Below are 20,487 nucleotides of genomic sequence, written 5' to 3'. Positions count from 1 at the left end.
GATTTTTTTAAGCCTCCCCTTTGCTCCAGTCTAGTAAACCTCTTTGGGCAACAGAAGCCTTACTGGAAAGCTGCTTAGCTATTATTAGATGGTGCTGAGGGAAGAAAGTACCTTACTCTTATGTAATTTCCTTGCCCTGAGGAGTAGTATATCCTGGTCAATGAAATCAGCTTGACTATTTTTTATTTTTTATTTTTTTGCATCCCAGCCTAATTTCTTTTTATTCCATCTTGAATTCTCACCCAAGCCTGATTCATCTTGCCTGCTTGCTTGATTTTTCTCTTTCTCTTTCTTTCTCTCTCTCTCTTTCTTTTCTTGAGATGGAATCTCACTGTTGCCCAAGCTGGAATGCAGTGCCACTATCTCAGGTCACTGCAGCCTCTGCCTCCCAGGTTCAAGTGATTCTCCTGCCTCAACCTCCCGAGTAGCTGGGCTTACAGGCGTGCACCACCACACCCAGCTAAATTTTTTTGTATTTTAGTAGAAATGGGGATTTGCCACATTGGCCAGGCTGGTCTTGAACTGCTGGCCTCAAGCAATACATCTGCCTCGGCCTCTCTAAGTGCTGGGATTACAGATGTGAGCCACCGCACCCAGGCTTTTCATTTCCTTTTTATTTATGTTTCACTCCATCTTCATTTGGTCTCTTTGCAGAGGTGGAAGTCCCCAATGTTTTTTATATGATTTCTCATGCTCTCACAAGCCAACAGCATTACATGCATTAACATATGTGTATTCAGTTACTCACATGTGCCTATACACAGTACGCCAATCTCATAGAGTAACTACCTCATGCTCACTCATCTACACACATTATCTTATCTATCAAGCCTCCTGGGCTGAGGTCTAGGCTAGGGGCTGTGAGGCCCAGGGGTCTCCAAACTTGGGTAAGCATACTTACTAAAGAAAAACAATTCAGATGTCCAGAACCTGTCCAAGGTCTACCGAATTAAAATCTCTGGAGGGGGGGTCCAAGAATCTGCACTTTAATAGGTCCTCCAGGTAAATCTAACGAAACCAGCTCAGTCTCACAGAGCTGGTTCAAAGACCGGCACTTGGAAAGCATGAATACCTGCTCACTCTGGGGTACAAAGGTACCAGGAGACACTTTGTGAAAAGATTTCCGGTCAAATTAGTATGGAAAAACTCTACACCAAAACCACCATCACCGTCTCCTTAATCAAAGTGCATATTAAAGGCTCTGAGAAGTCTTCCAATAAAGAATCTTCCTCCCTTCTTTTCTTAACTCAATGCACATCCCCCCAGTCCTTTCAAACCCTGTGCCCCCGAGAAAAGGCAGGCCCAGAACTCTGCAGCCCCACTTCCCCCAAGGCTGCCTGCTCAGGGATTCCCCCGAGTCCCCCAACCAGACACCACCCTGCACCACCTGACTACTGACATTCCAACCTTTTTTTCTCATTTGGACTCACAAACTTCCTTAAAGGTGAGGACCTTTATTTCCATTTTGGAGAAATGGTAACCGAGACTCAAAAAGTTAACTGCTGGGGGAAACCTTTTTTTTTTTTTTTTTTTGAGACGGAGTCTCACTCTGTCGCCCAGGCTGGAGTGCAGTGGCACGATCTTGGCTCACTGCAAGCTCCGCCTCCTGGGCTCAGCCATTCTCCTGCCTCAGCCTCCCGAGTAGCTGGGACTACAGGCGCCCACCACCATGCCCCGCTAATTGTTTGTATTTTTAGTAGAGACGGGGTTTCACCGTGTTAGCCAGGATGGTCTTGATCTCCTGACCTCATGATTCGCCCGCCTCGGCCTCCCAAAATGCTGAGATTACAGGCGTGAGCCACCGCACCTGGCCTTTTCCTCTCATTTTTGAGTGGTCAGTGGGTTGTGTGCTTCTGGACTGTTTATGTATCTGTGAGACTATGGGTTGATCTGATTCTGGGCATCAAACTCAATAATCCGCGCTTTCCCTCGCCTCACCCCCCAGGTGAGTCTCCCAGGTGACATATAAGGGCCACTGACAAGATGACCAAGTCCCGCCCAGAACTCACCTTAGGTGTCTGTGATTCCTTAGCAACACCATCATGAGCCTGGAGGAAGGGGAGCTCGCCCTTTGTCTCCTACCCGGATCGTCCCCGCCTCCAGGAAAGGCATACGCCCAGGCGCAGCTGCGGGCACTCACCGAGGATGCGGATCTGCGTGATGGTCCCGTGCAGGCCGAAGAGCATCCAAAGCGGCTGCGAGGCGTCCACGCACAGCTGCATGCCGGCGGCCGCGCCATTGTGGCTGAGGTGCAGCTCGCCGTCGGCGTTGACCACCAGGCCCAGGATGTCGCCGCTGTGCAGGGGCCCGGGCACGCGGCACACGGCCCAGAATTCCTTGCGGTCCACCAGGGCCTCAGGGCTGAAAGGCAGGTCGGCCGGCCGCAGCGTGCCGGGGTCGCACGTGGTGACGCCGAACGACAGCGCGCCGGGCCGCGCGCCACCCGAGCGCGTGACCTTGACGAAGATGGTCTCGGCCACGCGCACGGGCCGGCTGGTGAAGACGAGCGCGCGCTCGTCGCGCCCGTGCTCCACGCGCGCCACCGTCTGCTCGTCGAGGATGCGGACGTGCGCGCCGGCGCGCAGGGCGTGGAAACGCAGGTCGCCGTCGAGCTGCGCCGGCAGCGCGCGGCTGTGCTGCGAGTTGAGTGAGTTCTGCGGGATGGGGCAGCCGGCGGCCGGCGCGGCCTCGTCGCCGTCCGCGCCCGGCACGTTGAGGTCGCATAGGCTCACCGAGAGGCGCGCGTCGTCCGCCTCGCGCCGCAGCGACGGCCGCCGCAGGGCGGTGAAGGAGCGCGGCCGCAGACAGTCCGGGAGCACCAGCTCGCTATCTGCGCGGGAGACACGGGGCAGTGTCACGCAGGGCTCTCGGGAGGCGGCCCCGGCGCGCCCCGCTGTCCGGTCCCTACGCGCGCACCGTTACAATCCCGGATGGCTAATGGCGCACACGATGCTTGTGACATAAATTAGCGAACACAGTCAAGAAACGACTCTTGCAGGACATCTGTTTAAGCAGAGGAATAGGTGGGGGGAAGCACCGAAACTGAAACCATGTGGATGCTTCCAAATGCTCACAGGTGCTTGCTATATGCATATGTGTACTTCCTCATTTTCTACAGTAAACTTGTATTCCTCATAATTTAAAATTTTCAAAAATTTAACTCCTGGGCTCCTTCCGTCTTATCCCTAGCAGCTAGAACAGCGCCAAGCATTCTGTTGACAAACAGTAACCGTCTGTCGAGTGCACTGACGAAGGCCTAACATCCTGGAAAGCCAGGGAGCAACCACCCCCCAGCAAACACACAGACACCCTCTTTGCGTACATTGTCTCATCTAACCTTAACAATCACCTTTTGAGGCTACCATTGCCATGTCAGGACACAGGCTGAGAAGTAGATCTATCCAAGATACCCTTTTGAAAGTGGCTTAACAGGGAATCAAACTCATCGTTCTTTTTTAAATCATACAAGTTATACAAAATATAAAACGGTATTTTGTAGAAAATTCAGTTCAGCAAAAAGAAAAAACAATCGCCTATAAGCCCACCACCCAGAGAAAAGCATTTTTAATATTTGGATGTATGATCTTTTGGCCTTTTTAAAGGCTGTATTTTTGGGTTTTTTGTTTGTTTGGCTTTTTTTTTTTTTTTTTTTTTTTTTTTGAGACAGGATCTTGCTCTGTGGCCCAGGCTGGAGTGCAGTGGAGATATCTCAGCTTACAGCAACCTCCGCCTCCCAGGCTCAAGCCATCCTCACCTCAGCCTCCCAAGTAGCTGGGATGCACCACCGCGCCCAGCTAATTTTTGTATTTTTGGGGTAGAGACGGTATTTCGCCATGTTGCCCATCTGGTCTCCAACTCCTAGGCTCAAGCGATCCTCCTGCCTCAGTCTCCCAAAGTGCTACGATTAGAAGTGTGAGCCACCACACCCAGCTGGTTACTTTTTTTAGTGCAAAAATTGAGTCATGCTATATAAACATCACTTGTTTTTTACCTTTTATATGTACTACATCACTTTGAAAATGTGATGACATTGACCCTTTTCCCCAGAAAAATGAACATTCTCACTAAATTCTGTAGATAATTTCTCGGCATTCATGAACTACATGAAGCCATTCATGGGCAAGGACTCCAGGCTAAGAACCCTGGTAGCTTTTTTCAAAATTTTCAAAAATTTAACTCCTGGGCTCCTTCCATCTTATCCCCAGCATCTGAACACCTCTCCGTGCCAATAACTGTTTCCAACACCATATTCTTCTAATGGCTGTGTTATGTTCTGCTTTATGGAGTCCTATAACTTTCAATAAAAGTGATCACCATGTTCCATGAATTACCCCTGCAATTCATCCTTACGGCAGCCCGTGGAAGTGTTCCCGTTTTACAGATAAAGCTCAGCGGCGTTATGACAGCCGCCATGTGGCAGATCCAGGATTGAAAAAAAGGTCTGTCCAACTCCTAATGCCGCATTCTTCACTTCCAGACTCTCCTTGTTTATTGAAGCCTTTCTGCGTGAGTCAATCTCTCCAAATATGCCTGGTGCCACTGTAAGCCGCACCATGGACCGATCCCTTCCTTTGGGCCTTCTCCCTGAACCTCTCCAAGGGAGAATCTGTGCTGTCTCTTCAGGAACTGGGTTAAGGATGGCTGGGGTTCTCAGGTATGACAGCAAAGCTTGGGGGATTGGTCTGGTAGGGACAGCAGAGGCCAAAATTCAGTTCCAACTGAATGTAGACATGGTCACTAAACCTCCCTCTTTTCTTTCACCCTTTCACTGCCCCTTCCAGGAACTGTGTTGTCTGGCCCCCAGAAAGCTCTGGGTGTGGGCCCTTCCCCCCAAGCCTCCTGAAGCTCTGGAGAAGCCTCCTGGGGCCTGGCTGATTGGGGTTTCCTGGAATCGTGTTGGCGAGGAGGAGGGAGCCGGCCAGAAAATGTGATTATTCCAGGGAATTGACTCTGTGACAGTGATGGTGCATAGAGGCTGGGGGGCTGCAGAGAGGCAGAGGCAGAGGCCAGGAGGGCCTGTGCAGGGGGGAGGTAGGAGAGACAAATGGTGCAGAGTGGGGGAAAGCCAGTGGGCTGACCTGGACCCTGGGGAACAGTCCCTGCTCCCTCACCCCTCTGGGATTCCAGGCACTGACCCTTGGGAACTTCAGAGGGTGGGAGACAGAGAGGGGAAGGGGCAGTAACAGCAGGGAGAAGAGGAATCAGGTCGCTCAGAGATGTCCAGCCAGAGCCTCCAGGAACACAGCTGTCACAGGGCCCACACCACCCCCTCAGGACAATCAGTCCAGAGCTCCTGGGGCTGGGCAGACCCTCAGAACAGAGCTCTTAATGGGGCTGGATGCAAGCTATCCTGGTCTCTCTGCCCCTTCAGGAGTCCCCTTCTACTTAAACATGCACACTACCAGGTGCTCACTAACTTCCAGGCAACCTGTTCCATTGTGGAGTTAATCTGTCTTTAAAGAGTATTTCCTTCTTTTAAACCAAAATCTACCTCCCTGTATTTAACCCACTACCTCCTGAGCTGCCTATCAGCCCAGTACTGAAGACAATTCTCAGGGAATACTCAGAGTCCCCACACACCTTCCCACCTCTTAGATAATGAACAAAACCAGACTCAGTACTCTAGATGTGCACCAACCAGCTCAAGGCATAGTGTGGCCATCACCTCCCTTGGTATATATGCTATACTTCTAATAATGCAACCTAAAAGTACATTAGGTTTTTTTCAGTAACCAACATTCATATACTAGTAGGCAGGACAGGAGCACAGTTAAGTGCAATGAATTTGAAGTCATCAGTCTAGGTTCAAATCCTGGCCCTGCCATTTCCTGTATGACAGGGCTATATGACTGGACAAATAGCTGAACTTCTTGGGGCCTCTTCAGCAGTGAAATCAGCATCTACTGATTTACATAAAATCTGTATCTAATACTCCCCTTAGAAGAGACGCTGTGAGGATGAAAAGGAGTAAGGTACACAGGGCACCTAATAGGAGACCTGGCACAGTCATTAGGTTAATATAAGCCGTTGTTATTGGCATGTGAAATGCCACATGATTCAGAAGAAAGTGCATGGGCTTTGGGGTGATCCAGGTCTGGATCAGGCCTAGGTTTAAATGTCTGATCCAGCACTTGGCTGGTGGCTTTTGGGTAAGCAACCTTCCTCCCAGCCTCAAATTTCTCACCTAGAGAATAGGGGTAATAATACCTGCCCTGAGTTGTTGTTGGAAAGATCCGAGGTAAAGTGGGACCACCCCCAGCACCCAGAAGCTACCCGATAACTTCAGATATTAGTATTTGCTTGGCTTGAGCACAGTCTCAACTAAAAGTCAGGTACACCTGTCCTCAGACCATGGGCTTTTTGAACCTTAATGCAGGATTTCACATCAGTCATGATGGGTACCCAGGAAATACTCATTGAATGAAATCACCAAAGACCAAGAAGCAGCAGCTAAAATGTAGAGGTGAGAGGATAAAGAAGAAAGAAAGGAGAAACAGTGGAGGATGTACAAAGAGAAGGGGGTAGGAAGAGGATCCCTTTAGCCTTGCTTGAAATCTTGCTAGAGTTGGGAGGGGAGGGACAAAAGCTGCTGGGAAACAGCTAAAAACGGAACGAATCCCTAGGGCCAGTGCCCAGCCCAAGTCTGTCTTCTCTCCCTCTCCACCCCTCAGGGTCAGGAGCAGCTGCAGGCAGCCAGCAGCTCCAAAATAACCATCCCATCAGTGAGCCCAGCTGTGTCGAAGCCCTGAAATAGATGAAACTCGAGACACAGGAGCTGGTTAGAACACCCTCCGCAGAAGGGACGGCAAAGGTCACAGTTGAGTGAGCTGATACCAAGTTAGAGGTCAGGGCAGTGTTTGGGGCCCCAAGCCATGGGAGAACACCATGGGACCAACCTCGGCCCAAGACTGCACCACTTGATGGGTAAGGCTTAGAAAAACCAGATGGGCAACCTCTCACCCCAAGCAGTGGGGTGGCCCCACATTCGGAAGCAACAAGTTACATAATCGGTGCCGGGACACGTGCCCACCTGCTTTGGAGGTGTTTATGATGGGAACAGAGATGGCACAAGGCCATGAGGAGAAGCCGCTAAGCTGACTACCCTTGCATGTCCCATCATTCAGGAAAGAACCTGTCAGTCTTCAGCTCTTGCCTGTTCTGGTGCCCGGCAGTGGCTCTACCAACACCCTGGGCCAGAGCAAAAATAAGCAGACCCTGCCAGGGCAGGGAGGTCCCGGCCATGTGTTTCCCCTCCTCTAGGTGGTGCTGGGGGCCCTACTCACTGACCTACTGTGTGCCCAGCCCTGGGCAGGGAGTCTGGGAGAGGGAGGAGCCAGGAACTGGGCCCTGGGAGCCAAGAGTCAGTGGAAGGGGCAAGGCTTAAAGGCAGGACATGTTTTTTTTATTATTATTATTTTTTGATACGGGGTCTCGCTCTGTTCCCCAGGCTGGAGTGCAGTGGCACGATCTAGGCTCACTCACTGCATCCTCTGCCTCCCAGGTTCAAGCGATTCTTGTGCCTCAGCCTCCAAAGTGGCTGGGACTACAGGTGCACACCACCACGCCTGGCTAATTTTTGTATTTTTTGTAGAGACAGGGTTTCACTAGGTTTCCCAGGCTGGTTTCGAACTCCTCAGCTCAAGTGATCTGCTGGCCTCAGCCTCCCAAAGTGCTGAGATTACAGGTGTGAGCCACCATGCCTGCCCCGAAGTCAGGAAAATATTTGAATACAATTCAGTTACCAGAGTCTTAGTATCTAGGATTAGACAGGACTTTCGAGGAACTAAGGTACTAGGAAATCCATTTATCCCTGCCAATCTCTCAGCTAGAGGCTAGAATGGCCCTAGGGTCAGGAAGTTTACCATCTCCCAAGGCTACCTATTCCCCACCTTGGAATAACCATGACTTAGAAAAACTCTCCTGGTGGGAATCCATATGTATCCCAGATACCCTCCTTGGGGCTCCCTCTGAGTCTTCTCTCCTTTACAGTAAATAACCCCTTTAGGATCAAGATCCCCAACTAAGGCTGAAGTCCCCTTCCTGTTTCAGAGTGGGCTAGGGAAGGTATTCTGGACGACACAGGAGTTGACCTGAGCTGAAACACAGGAGGGTTTGGGTTGACAGGTGAGAAAACTGTTAGCAAACACCTGGTGAAGAGCAGGAGTGGGAGCGGGAGGAGACAGACTGAGGAGGGCCCCAGGGCTTGCTGTTGCCCAGAAAGCCACCCGGCCCTGCCATACGCTGCCAGCAGTGCAGGGTAACCAAGGCAGGACCTGGGCGTGGGGGACCTCAGGGCAGGCCGGGGCCTCCTTTGAGGCAGAGCTTGCCGTCAGCCTGAGAGTCCCATTTGTTGACGTTCTCACATCCGGAGCACTGGCTAATCTGTAACCACAGGTCAGCCTGCAGCCGCCTGGCTTGCTAGCAGGTATCTGCTGGCCCCTGTTTGGGAGGCGCTGCCAGCCCTTTACTGTCTCCACAAACATCCTCCTGCTGGTCCGCATCTGGCACGGGGCATGGGAGGGAGCCGGGAAGTGCGGGTGCCTGGCTTAGACAGGCAAGGGGGTTCTCCACCCCTCCCAGCACCCACCTCCACCCTCTCCCTTTAAACCCAACCATGGGAAATTTAGGAGAAACAAACATGCTTTCTGGGGCTCACAGAGGGAAGGGCAGAACATCCTAAAATCACTCACAGTCACAGACTTTAAGATTCAGAGAATCTTCAAGCCACGGGATCTCATAGATTTATAGAATCATCTGGTCTAGTGGGTCTCAAACTTTTTTAAAAAGCAGTGGAATCCTTTTGTCCAACAGAACCCCAAGTTCTGGCTGAAGTCTAGGAGGTGGACCTAGCACCTATCCCCTCACCCTCTCTCTGGCCTTCTCTGCAGCCTCCAAGACACCTCTGTGGAACCCCAGTGTTCCAAGGAACCCAGCTGGAGAAGCACAGATCTTGTTCCAAGGAGCAATTTCGATTGCATGGTTTTCCTTTCAGCCCGATACAGAGACCTGGGTTCAAGGCTCCCTCTTCTAGTTGAAGAGCTGGTTTGAGGGGTTGGCTTTTTTGGCCGTGGAGGGCGGTGTCTTTAAATTAGGTATTCCTTTTTAACCTAAAGACAAAAGCCCTTCTCATTTGTGTAAATGCCTTTCCACATCTGTGAGGTAAGTGGGGTGTGTATAATTATGCCCAAATAATGAGGAGGCTGAAGCACAGAGAAGCTGAGAACTGCCCAGAGCTAATGAGTGGCCAAGTCAAGCCTTGATTCAGTGGGTCTCCTGCATCTTAAATGAAGGCATTGTCCCCAATACTGCAAGGCCCGAGCTCCTCCCTCCACATACACCCCACCCTGAGCCCCACCACTCTCTCCAAGGCCCCAGTACAATCTCTTGGGCCCAAGAGATGCTAGGGGCAAACATGAGATTGCCTTTCTTGTAAGTTAAAAACAGTCCAATACTGGTGATTACATATGGTTCAACTTGATATATATTCATTGTGGTAGAAAACTAGAGTGCACAGGAATAACTGAACCAGACAAAGCCCTCGGGAGCCTCCGGGGAACTATAAGGCAGGCAGACCGACCTTCCCCACTGAATCTGGCATCCTGGGCGCTGCACTGCCCCTCTTCCTTGTACCAGCACTGCTGGGGCCCTGGTGGCCTATCTGTGCCCAACATGTGCAGTTGATCCTTGATGCCTTGAGCTCTTGTAAGCTCGACTCTGGAAGGCACAGGAGGGCCACTGTCCCCGCTCTTGTCGGGTATCCAGACCTAATAGGGAGATCAGATGGACTCACATCTAGAGAAGCTGGAAGGTAATGTAGCCCAAGCTCCTGGGTTCAAATCCCAGCTCCACCAACTGCCAGCTGTGTGACCTTGGGCAGGTTATCAGACCTCTCTCAGCCTCTGTTCCTTATCTACAAAATGGGCACAATAATACCTTCCTTTATATACAAAGAGGATATATGCTGGATCTTTAAAGAGCAGGACAATACATGACTCAAAGCTGCTTATACCACTTAGGTCTCCAAGTGCTTCCGATGGTCAGGAGGAGGAAGGGTCATTTTGAATGAGGGAGGTCTGGGAAAGCTTCCTAATGGAGGGGAGGGTTTGGTGTGGGGCACTGATATAGCTGGCAGAATTTGGGGTAAGCAGAAAGGAAGCACCAGAAAACCCTCTGAAGCAGAAGGAAAAGCAAGATTTTTTTCTTAATCAAAAAGAAATGAAAATCATCAAAGAGGAAGAAATCATGATCGGCAGCCTCAGCTGTTTCCCCCAGCCCAACAGCTGGCTCAGGCTCCTTAAACTAATATTTGCCTCTTGGCCCCTAGCAGCCACAGCTGAGGGTAAATATTGGTTTAGCCTGGGAAGCAGAAGGCCCAGATGGCAGTGTGGTCCTCGGCTGGGGATCACTCATGCTCAGCACCTCCAAGCTGAGGCACACCCTGGATAGGGGACCTGACCTAGGCCCCTATCTCCAGGGGGCCTGGAGAACCCACCCAGCAGCACATGACCCTTGGAAGCCCATCCTGAGAGTCTCCATACAGCTCTCTCCTCAGTAGGCAGGCGTGGGTCTTTTACCAAGACCTGGGAACCTGTGCATGGCAAGGGATGGAATAGAATGCATAAGCCCTCGGGAGCCCCCACCTCATCCCCTCCTAGAACCCTCCCGGACCCAGCCCCACCATTTAGATGTGTTGATAGCCTCCTCCCTCTGACCTTACTCCCAGATCAGCCTGAGAGATCTGGGTTCCAGGCCTGGCCTGGCTGATGAGCAGCTGGGAGAGTTTGGGCAGGCCTCTCCCCATCTCTGGGTCTCATACTTCTCCACTGTCAACCAGCCAGTCCCTCTTACTGAACAACTTGACAGCACAAAAGCTGCTGGAAGCTTTCAGCTCTCATGGCTCTCTCCCCTGTGATGCATACACATACCCACACCTGTGCACACCCCTCACCTCCACAAGTCACCCACTACCTTTCTACCTCATTCCTTCCCCTCCTGGATCTGCTCCCCTACTGACCGCCAATTCCCCACCTCTGCACCTGTGGACACCCCCCTGTCTGACCTAAATTGTTCCTCAACCAATCCATTCTTTTCACCTCACTTAGTTCCTGACTTAAAACTTGTCTCCTACAGGAAGTCCTCCTGGATTGCTCTCTAGCTGCACTCCCCTCCCACACATACACACAGTTTTACTCTTCAGGTCACACTTGATTGCAGAATTGAACTTGGGCCACCTTGCATCAGTTATATGATGTGTCCCCCAGGGAAAACATTATTCCAGGAGAGGGGCTGGGTTTTTGATTCTTCTGTCTCCCACCTGCCCCCGCTTAGTGCCTAGGCAGTGGTAGGCACCAAGGGATGCTCTGGAGCACCCTGTAAGTGGGCTCTTGGCCCGCCAGCCAAGTCCTGCTGGGACTCACAGCTGCTCTTCCTGAATTGACATTTCTGAGAGGAGCAAGGAGACCTTGAGATACTGGGATAGGAGCTTCTTTTTCCATGTATTAATCACCCCATAAAACCTGTGTTTATTTAGTTGCTGGCGGGTCCTTCTCCCTGGAGGAAGGAAGCTGTTATTCTTGACGATACCAGCCTGGGCTTGGGCCAGGGCGCCCCAAAGAAAGAGGTGATCTGCAGAACTCCAGCATAACAGGGAGGAGGGCCTGCTGGGGCTGTGGCATGGGCACCATAACAGGGAGGAGGGCCTGCTGGGGCCATGGCATGGGCACCATTGTGGGCTTGGATTCTGGCCAGGGCAGGGAGGACCGTCCACTGGGGAGAGACACCAGCCCCTGCCTCCACTCTGTCTGGGGACACAACCCATCCATGGCCTGACCTGCTTACCTACTATGTGCCAGCTACCCTGGGAAGCCTCTGGTCTAAGGAACAAACACAGAGCAGGTAAGATTGGGAGGGCTTTGACCACAGGCTTCAGACAAAGGGGGCAGGGGCAGGCCTGGCAGAAAATCCCCAAAGATCAGACATTGGTTTGGGGGACAGTCACCCCAGGAAAGACTGGCCCAGCCTCAGAGCCACCAAGATGGACAGCGACTTTCTTCAGAAGAGAGACAGCAGCGGGGAGAAGGACACCAAGACCAGGGAAAGCAAGAAGGGTGAGAGGATCTAGGTCAAGGGAGAGAGAAAAGCCCAGAAAGATACAGGTGCAGTAAAGGTGCAGGTGATGGAGAGAGGGAGGGGCGGGAAGTGGGGCGGAGAGGAAAGAGAAGGCAGGGAAGGAAGCTGATCCTGAGGCTACCTGGGGTAGAGGGGAGTATCTCAGAGGACAGGCAGTGAACGAAGGTGGAGAGATCACGCCCACCTCAGGAGATCTCTGGATGAATCTCTGTGTCTCCCTCTCTCTCTTTACCAAAAAAAAAAAAAATTCAGGAAGAATAAATGAAGGGATATCTCAATCTGCCAATTGAATTTAGGGGCCATAATCAGTGTTTGAAAATACCCAGGGATTATGGTGATTTACGGCTGGGACGGAATCCGCTGGGGCCTTAGCCTTATCGGGTGTGCAGAGAGGAGCCTGTCAGGAACTCCAAATGCAACTGAAAACACTGCGTGCAAACCCATTTATAGTCACAGGGGGGATGGGGCTGGACCAGGTCAGGCCACCTGGGCTCTGGCCCAGGATGGGCCCTTCAGATTATTCTCCAAGCCCTCCTCAGCCCCTGAGGGTGGGAAGCCCGTCTGTCGTGTTCCACTTCATTCCCATGTGCCAGGGCCCTCCTGGAACTTGTAGGCCCAGCCCAAGTCTTCTCTTCCAAGAAGCCCTCCTGGCCTCCATCCTCCCCCACTGACCTCAGCCTCCTCTGACTTCCTGCCTCCTTTTATGTTTAAACCAGCTGGAGGGTAATGGGAAAGGTGTTGCTTTTGGCATCAGAACACCCAGTTCAAGTCCCAGCTCTGCCACATCCCTACATGGGCAAGCCAGGCCTTGCGTGGGCCTCAGTTATCTCCCTGCCAAATGGGGATAAAAAACACTCCCTGTGGGGCCTGCTTCAGAGGGGTTAAATGAGATAACTGGATAGAAACCATCTCGGCAGATGGAAGGCATCCCATGACCACAGCGGTTAGTGATTTACTGGCTTCTCTTGGGTTGTGCCCTGAGCGCTTGCATCGTCTGGAGTGTTTGCTTCATCTCCCTAACTTCCCAATGAGCCTGGGTTATCTGTGGGCAGGGCTGGGTTGCCCTTGGCCCCCACCCACCTGCCGTTTTCTTCATCTAACAACGCATCTGCCCTCCCATTCGTCCCCCACCCTGCCCCTGACTACTCTCCCCTACCTACCCTGCAAATATTCCTCCACGTCCTCTGCAGGTCAGGCAGAAGCCTCCACTCTGGAGAGCAGCCCGACTGAGTGAGACGTGGATTCTTCCCCATCTTGCAGGGAAGTGGACGTATGGACGGACCAAGGCTCTGCGATGCTCAGTACTGAGAGAAGCACCAGCACCACTTGGTGGCACACAAAGATGGAGAGAAGAATTCCGCCCAGGAAGGTTTCAGGGAGGGAGGGGGCTTTGGGACTGGCCTTGAAGCCAGAGTGGGGACTGTGAGGGAGGCCACTTTTTGCTTAGGGAAAAGCAAGAATGTTGCCCCACTGCCCTCACCTGCCCACCCCTCAACAAGACTGTGGCTTTCTCAGGAGCAGAGACTTTGTCTTCCACCATGTGGTTAAGTCCTGGGCTAAGTCAAAGCCTTCACAACCATTATACAGGTGGGAAGCCTGAGGCTCAGGCAGAAGTGGTCAGGTTAGAGCTCAAACTCAAGCGCTGGGACTCCAGTGCCTTGAAGTGTGGGGCCCTGAGGATACCAGAGCAGCACCAAGGCATTCACTTGAGCCCTGAGTGAAGAACTGTCCTCCCCAGAATGGGTGGGGACAAATGACAGCCACTGACCCCCTACTGTGCATCAGCTGCTCCTCAAAGAACCCCGAGAAAGCATTTAGCCCCACGTTACAGATGAAGAAACTGAGGCCCCACAACTAGTACAGCGTGAGGCTAGGATCTGCCGGTCTCTGTAGCTCAGGGACATGAACGCTGCCCTTTCTGCCCCCGGCTGCAGGCACACCCCTTTTACAGAGAAAATGCAAAGCACCTGGGCTCCCTTCTTCAGTCGCTGAGACCCAGAACTGCCCAGTTCCAGGCTCTTAACATGTCATTGTGAGTGCAGAAACACTTTTGTTGAGGTGAAAAACAGAAAGTTCCCAAACTACTAGCTAATAAAAACAGCTTCCTGATGTTTGGAACTCAACAAACAGGCTTCTGACTCATTTCTTTGTTTTTACTATCACTGACTTTTTGCTCAAAAGTGTTGTGGACAGAAGAACTTCACTGTTTCTAGGCTCTGAAGTCAGAAAGGGAAAAAAAAAAAAGGTTTTCAACCACCTTCATGGCCTCTTTCTCTGCAGGGAGAGGCGGGTAGAGATGGGAGACGAAGGAAAAAGTGTTGCTTGAGCATATACTTGGTACCCGAGACTGTGCTGGGCACTTTACTCACAGCCTCCCTGATGGAACTTAATCTTCCCACCAACCCATTTCACAGCTGAGGAAGCTGAGGCTTGCATAGCCTCTGCCTGGAGACAAAGCCAGTTTGCCGATGGCCTGATTTGTACCCAGAGTCTATGTGTGCGCACATGCACTTGAGTGCCTGTGCACAAGGAGAGCCAGGTGGGAAGGATCCTGGGCTGGGAGTCAGGTGACCTGAGTTCTAGTCCTACCTTAACCACCAACTTACTGTGTGACCCTAGGAAGTCGGAGATTCTCCTGTCCTCTTCCGGCCCCAGTACTTGTGCCATTGCAGGGAAGCCTGGCCCCTGAGCATGCCAGGCTGCTTCCCGAGGCTCCTCCTCCTTGCTCTCTCACTGTCCTCAAAGAGCCTAACTTACGCTGGGGGCCAGGGAGCAGCCAAGAGTCTTAGCTCCCCCAGTGCCTTCTGCTCCTGGATCCTACCCTTTTATCCAACATCCCTGCAAAAGGCACTGGGGTGGGCTTGGAACCCCGTCTCCTGGAAGGCTGCAAAGCCCAGGGGCTGACAGCTGGCTTTAGAGCTGGAGACTCAGGGCTGGCTCTACCCCTCAACGGCCATGGCTCCTGGGACCATGATGTAATCTCCCTGGACTTGAGTTTCTGCCCAATGAAGGGGTCTCCCTCCCAGGGTTGCTATGAGAACAGGCAAGAATCAAGTGCCTTGCACATAGTAAGTGTTCTATGAACTGTGGTTGTGATGATTAATTTAATTACTTCCTGGGGTGGTGGTCTTTGAGGTCACCATTTATGATTGTGAAGGTTGCATACTGCCCAAGGCACCACCTGAGAGGCTGCAGAGAGCAGAAATCACACCCAGGTTCCACTGCAAAGCCACGGGCCTGGAGGAAAGGAGATCTCTGCAGTTCATGCCAAGGTTCCCAGGGCTGCCCCGGTTCCCCTTGGCACCAGTCAGAGAGGGGTCCCTACGCCTGATGGGATTGAACAGTGCCAGGCTGCAGTGCCCAGAGGCTGAGGGGTGTCCCCTGCACCAAGGGGCCGGAGGGGCAGGCACTCACCAAGCAGCTGGACGCCCCGCGTGAGGCCGTAGACGTCCACCAGGGCCCAGAGCGGGTCGGCCGTGCGGACCCCGCTGAAGAACAGCATAACAGCCGAGTCGTTGATGCGGTGGAAGACACGGCCCTTCTTGTCCACCCAGAATGCGATGATGTTGCCCTCATTGGCAAACTCCTCAGGCAGCGCCTTGGCCCAGAAGCCACTCTGGGACACCAGGTCGGGGCAGGCGTACTTGGGCAGCGAGTCAGGGTGGATGCGGGACGGGTCCTTGCTGGTGAAGCCCAGCCGCAGGGCCCCGCTCCAGCAGCACTGCTTCTTGGTGATCTGGGTGGCAGGGGGTGGCCTCAGCCCACCCTCTCCCACTTGGTCAATCAGACCAAGGGCAGCCTCCCTGCGGTGGACTCCCTGGAGCATCCCACAGCAGCCTGCCCACCATTCCAGCACAGTTCCCTCCCAGGAGCCCTCCCTGCTGGGAAGACAGCAAGGGGTTCCCACGGCCACCGCCCTCCCGGTTCCTTCCTTGTCACACAGGGAGGTTGAGAAAGGCATAAGGAAGAGGGAAGAGGGTCACCAGAGAGGAAAGGCAGGGGCAGGGTGTGGTGCTGGGGGTGGCAGCAGGCAGCGGCTGAGGGGCAGAGTCCAGAGGCCCAGGGGATGCCATGAGGGGAGCAGGAAGCAGGAGGCGGGGGCGGGGGCAGGGGGCAGGCCCACCTTCAGCCTGACTTGCTCGTAGATGAGGACCGGGCGGTTGCTGAAGGTGATGGCGTTGCAGAAGCTGGCCTGCCTCTTGACAGCCTTGTGGCTGAGGTCCATGAGGATCTGGGAGCCCTTGGTGTGCGGGTGGAAGAGCAGCGGCGTGGCTGGGAGCCCCCCGCTGGGCAGCACTGCCGGACAGTGCTTCTGCTTGTGGTGGCATCGGTGAGAAGTGACGGGGAAGGGGCCCCCGATAGAGTCTGCAAAGGAACAGGCCACGGTGTCAGAGAACTTGGCGGGTCCAAGAGCCAGACCAGAGTCCCCTAGGGAAGGGCAGAGGCTGGGCATGACCAGAAGTCACCCAGAGCCCAGTTCTTTCACCACTGCCGCCACCCCTTGCCACCATCCTTCTGCCACCATCTCTCACCATCTCCCACTCCACCATCTGCCACCATGCTCTACTGGTTCACTATCCACCACTTCTCACCTCGGCATTCTCCATCACCTCCCACCCCCACCCTCTCCCACCTCCTCTCCCCACTAGTATTTACCACCCTCTGCCTCTCACCACCTACCATGGTAGCACATCACCTTTACTACCACCCTCTACCACCACTCACTGGCACTCCACCATCCTTGGTTTGTTTATTTTATTCAATAAATATTTATGACATATCTGCTGAATACCAAGCTCTGTCCTGAGCACTGGAGACACAGACATGAAACATACATGGATCCTGTCCTCGGGGCTGTCACTAACTGGCTCTGTGACCTTGGGGAAGACAACACTTCCCTCTCTGGCACAATGGGCGGCCTCTACTCTGTGGCTCCAAGACAAGTCTCAGCAGCACAGGCAGCATTAATTAATACACAGCCTCAGGGGCTGGGGACTCTGGTGGGGCCCCCAAGATCCATGCCCAAGTAGAGCCCGCCCATCCTGTCATCGTGGGGAAACAGAACCGTGAAGAATGGAGAAGAGGGTGGAGCCGTAGAAAGCCACAAAATGTGACAGAGGCCTTCTGGGATGTTTCAAATTTTGGTCCTCCAAGGCAGGAATTTAATGATGCAAAGAGCTCGGCATTGGGCCTGCCTCCCCAGACCCTTTCACTCCCTAGAGGAGGAGGAGCAGCTTCCAGGAAGGAGATGGAAGACAGGAAGAAAAGGGAGAGGGAGAGGCCCAGCCCTCTGTGTTGGCTTTGGTCTGCATCCCTCTGTACCACTTTGCATCTCCAATCCCCGCTTCTCCAGAGGCCCCAGACAGCAGTCTCCGAAGCCCCAGGCCAGCCAGACACCCTGTGCATGAGCCCCCGGGTCTCTCTAGAGCAGCTTCCTGCCTGCCAGGCTCACTAGGAGAGGGTGGCATGAGGAGGAGTTCACCTTGTCCTCACCAAGGAGACAAGACGGGAATGGCTGGGCAGCGCAAGAGCTTTGGAAGCGGTCAGGCTATGAGGGCTGGAAATGCTCAGAAGAGCCCCAGACAGTCTGGAAAGGCTGCCTGGAAGAAGCTGAATGGCCTCTGGATAGTGCAGAGGAGGGGAAGCCATTTCAGGGAAGGGGACAGTTGGGGCAAAGGGCAGAGAGTGGCACTGGCTACAGGTGCCCTGCCTGGAAAAGATGCCCACTGGGCTCAGGCCAGCCTCAGACACAGCTTGACTCTTGGTTTCATAAAATATGTGCTGGTGAAAGGCTAGCTGTTGAGGTTCACATCTAGAGGTAGAAATGGAAGCATAAGAGAAAAATCACCCCTGCTGTGTGGGTGGCTAACACACCGTGGTGCATCTCCTCAACGGAATACTACTCGGCAGTAAAGCACAATGAACTACCGATATGAATAACAACATAGATGAATTTCAAAATAACGATGTGAGTGAAATTAGCCTGTTAAAAACAAAGCAATACAGGATTCATGGAGCAACTGCAGGGCTTCCATTCCCTTCAAAACCCTTCCTCTCCTTCCATTTTTTATCAAATTCTAGAAAGTGCAAATGAAGCTGTAGTGATCAAAAGCAGATAAGTGGCCCAGGCACCATGGCTCACGCCTGTAATCTCAGCACTTTGGGAGGCCAAAGAGGGTGGATTACCTGAGGTCAGGAGTTCGAGACCAGCCTGGGCAATATGGTGAAACCCCATCTCTACTAAAAATACAAAAATTAGCTGGGCGTGGTGGCAGGCACCTGTAGTCCCAGCTACTCGGGAGGCTGAGGCAGGAGAATCACTTGAACCCAGAAGGTGGAGGTTGCAGTGAGCCAAGATCGTTCCACTGCATTCCAGGCTGGGCGACAGAGCAAGACTCCGTCTCAAAACAAAAACAAAAACAAAAAACAAAACAAGACAAAAAAACAAAAACAGATAAGTGAATGCCTGCGATGGTGTGGGGAGAGAGGCAGGATTACCAAGGAGCACAAGGTGACATTTGGCAGTGTGGCTGTGTTCCTTATCTTTTTTTTTAAATGGTGGTTTTCAGTGGTCTGTGTGTTCCTTATCTTGATGTGGTAATGATTTCATGGGGGTACACTATGTCAAAACTCATCAAATTGGACACTTTAAACATGTGCAATTTAGTGTATGTCAATTACACCTCCACGAAGCAGTTTTTAAAACCCTGCTGAGCCCAGCTGCTGATGACAGCCTTTCCTTTGGGGTTCCCCCTCCCCAGCCTCTACTCAGAATCCACGGAGCAACTGCAGGGCCACCAATCCCTTCAAAATGCTTCCTCTTCTTCCCACCCATCCTGCTTGACGTCCTGGGGCCCTGGGTAACGGCACAGAAAACACTGACTCTGGGCAAATACAGTGGAGACAAAGGGGCCAGAGACCCAGCTCCTGGAAGGACATTCCCCAAGGCCTCCCTTCCAGAGAGGACCCCTGCCAATCCCAGTGTTGGGTAGGGGGTTGAGGGTGGGGCTGGGGCAGCACAGGCCCAGCACCCTGGCTGGCAGCACAACAGACAAAGGAGGTGGGGCCAGGAGGACTCTGGTCCAGGGGCACCATGTGCACCCAGGCATGTGGGCTCCAAAAGACACACTCACGGGCATACACGTACACCTGTGAGCATGCGAAAGTAATCCCAACCCTAGGCCGTTCATCCTCTCCCGTATCCCTGAGACCAGGAACCACACACTTACACACACACGTAGTCATGTACACATGGATGTGAAAAACAATACATACAAAACACATGCCTATCACACATGGGTCATATGCATCAAATAATAGTGGCAGTCATTTGCCAAGCTCTGAACTAGTTTTACATACACTTACTGGTTTCACTCTTACGGCAAACTTATTATCAACCAATTTACAGGTGACAAATATGTGCCTCAGGGAGATTAAGTGGCTTGCCCAGGGTCACAGAACCAGTAAGAAAGGGACGTAAGAGCCACACCCAGCAATCTGACTGCAAGGCCTTTGTTATTGGCCATTAAGCATTAAGAGGCCAGGTGCAGTGGCTCACACCTGTAATCCCAGCACTTTGGGAGGCCAAGGCAGGAGGATCACTTGAGACCTAGGAGTTGGAGACCGGCTTGGGGAACAAAAGCAAGACCTCATCTCTACAAAAAATTTAAAAATTAGCTGAATGTGGTGGTGCTTGCCTGTACTGAGTCCCAGTAGTCCCAGCTACTCAGGAGGCTGAGGCAGGAGGATCCTTGAGCCCAGGGGCTGAAAGCTGCAGTGAGTCATGATCATGCCACTTCATTCCAACCTGGGTGAGAGTGAGACCTTGTCTCAAAAAAATTAAAAGGCATTAATAGCCAAGAATTCATGGATTTGGTGTGCTGGATAAATTTTTAAAATGCAAATTAAAAAATACTCATAACCTATAAACGAAGAAAAAAAAAGGTTCCTTCAGGCTGGGCACAGTGGCTCACACCTGTAATCTCAGCACTTTGGGAGGCTGAGGCAGGCGGATCACTTGAGGTCAGGAGTTCGAGACCAGCCTGGCCAACACGGTGAAACCCTGTCTCTACTAAAAATACAAAAATTACCCGGGCAGGGTGGCACATACCTGTAATCCCAGCCACTTGGGAGGCTGAGGCACAAGGATTGCTTAAACCCAGGAGGCGGAGGGTTGCAGTGAGCCGAGACAGCACCACTGCACTCCAGCCTGGGCAACAGAGCAAGACTCTGTCTCAAACAAAAAAAAAAAAAAGAAAGAAAGAAAAGAAACAAAGTTTCCTTTATGTACCACCCAAAACCATCTCATGTAGCACACAGGGCAATACATGGCATTCTATTATGTTGTCTCTATGATAC

At 52.5% G+C, this 20,487-nt stretch overlaps 1 protein-coding gene and 1 long non-coding RNA gene across 2 annotated transcripts in view, besides 2 other annotated features; one reads left to right on the top strand and one right to left on the bottom strand.

Moving 5' to 3' along the window:
- Nucleotides 1–20,487, bottom strand: part of NEURL1 (neuralized E3 ubiquitin protein ligase 1) — a 98,842-nt gene that overhangs the window by 5,181 nt on the left and 73,174 nt on the right. Inside the window, exons 2-4 of the mRNA NM_004210.5 lie at nucleotides 16,253–16,494; nucleotides 15,544–15,865; nucleotides 2,141–2,830 (exon numbers count right to left, since the gene is read on the bottom strand). Of these exons, the coding sequence (NP_004201.3) occupies nucleotides 2,141–2,830; nucleotides 15,544–15,865; nucleotides 16,253–16,494 (1,254 nt within the window). The remainder of the gene's footprint in view (nucleotides 1–2,140; nucleotides 2,831–15,543; nucleotides 15,866–16,252; nucleotides 16,495–20,487) is intronic.
- Nucleotides 2,893–2,952: a silencer, noted in NCBI's record as "silent region_2785". NCBI's record gives its function as "represses an Ori minimal core promoter by ATAC-STARR-seq in GM12878 lymphoblastoid cells {active_cell/tissue: GM12878}" and the evidence as "EXISTENCE:reporter gene assay evidence [ECO:0000049][PMID:35858748]".
- LOC124902496 (uncharacterized) lies at nucleotides 3,623–7,395 on the top strand. Its single transcript, XR_007062277.1, has 3 exons — nucleotides 3,623–4,654; nucleotides 4,782–4,927; nucleotides 6,377–7,395. It is a non-coding gene; the product is annotated as an uncharacterized LOC124902496 (long non-coding RNA).
- Nucleotides 17,567–18,067: an enhancer, noted in NCBI's record as "H3K4me1 hESC enhancer chr10:105329056-105329556 (GRCh37/hg19 assembly coordinates)". NCBI's record gives its function as "activates a minimal SCP1, AML or CMV promoter by ChIP-STARR-seq in naive H9 embryonic stem cells {active_cell/tissue: H9 hESC(naive)}" and the evidence as "EXISTENCE:reporter gene assay evidence [ECO:0000049][PMID:30033119]".

Source organism: Homo sapiens, chromosome 10, assembly GCF_000001405.40.
Source record: "Homo sapiens chromosome 10, GRCh38.p14 Primary Assembly".
NCBI classification, from domain to species: domain Eukaryota; kingdom Metazoa; phylum Chordata; class Mammalia; order Primates; family Hominidae; genus Homo; species Homo sapiens.
Note: the sequence above shows the minus strand (reverse complement) of the source record. Positions and strands in the feature narration are given on the sequence as shown.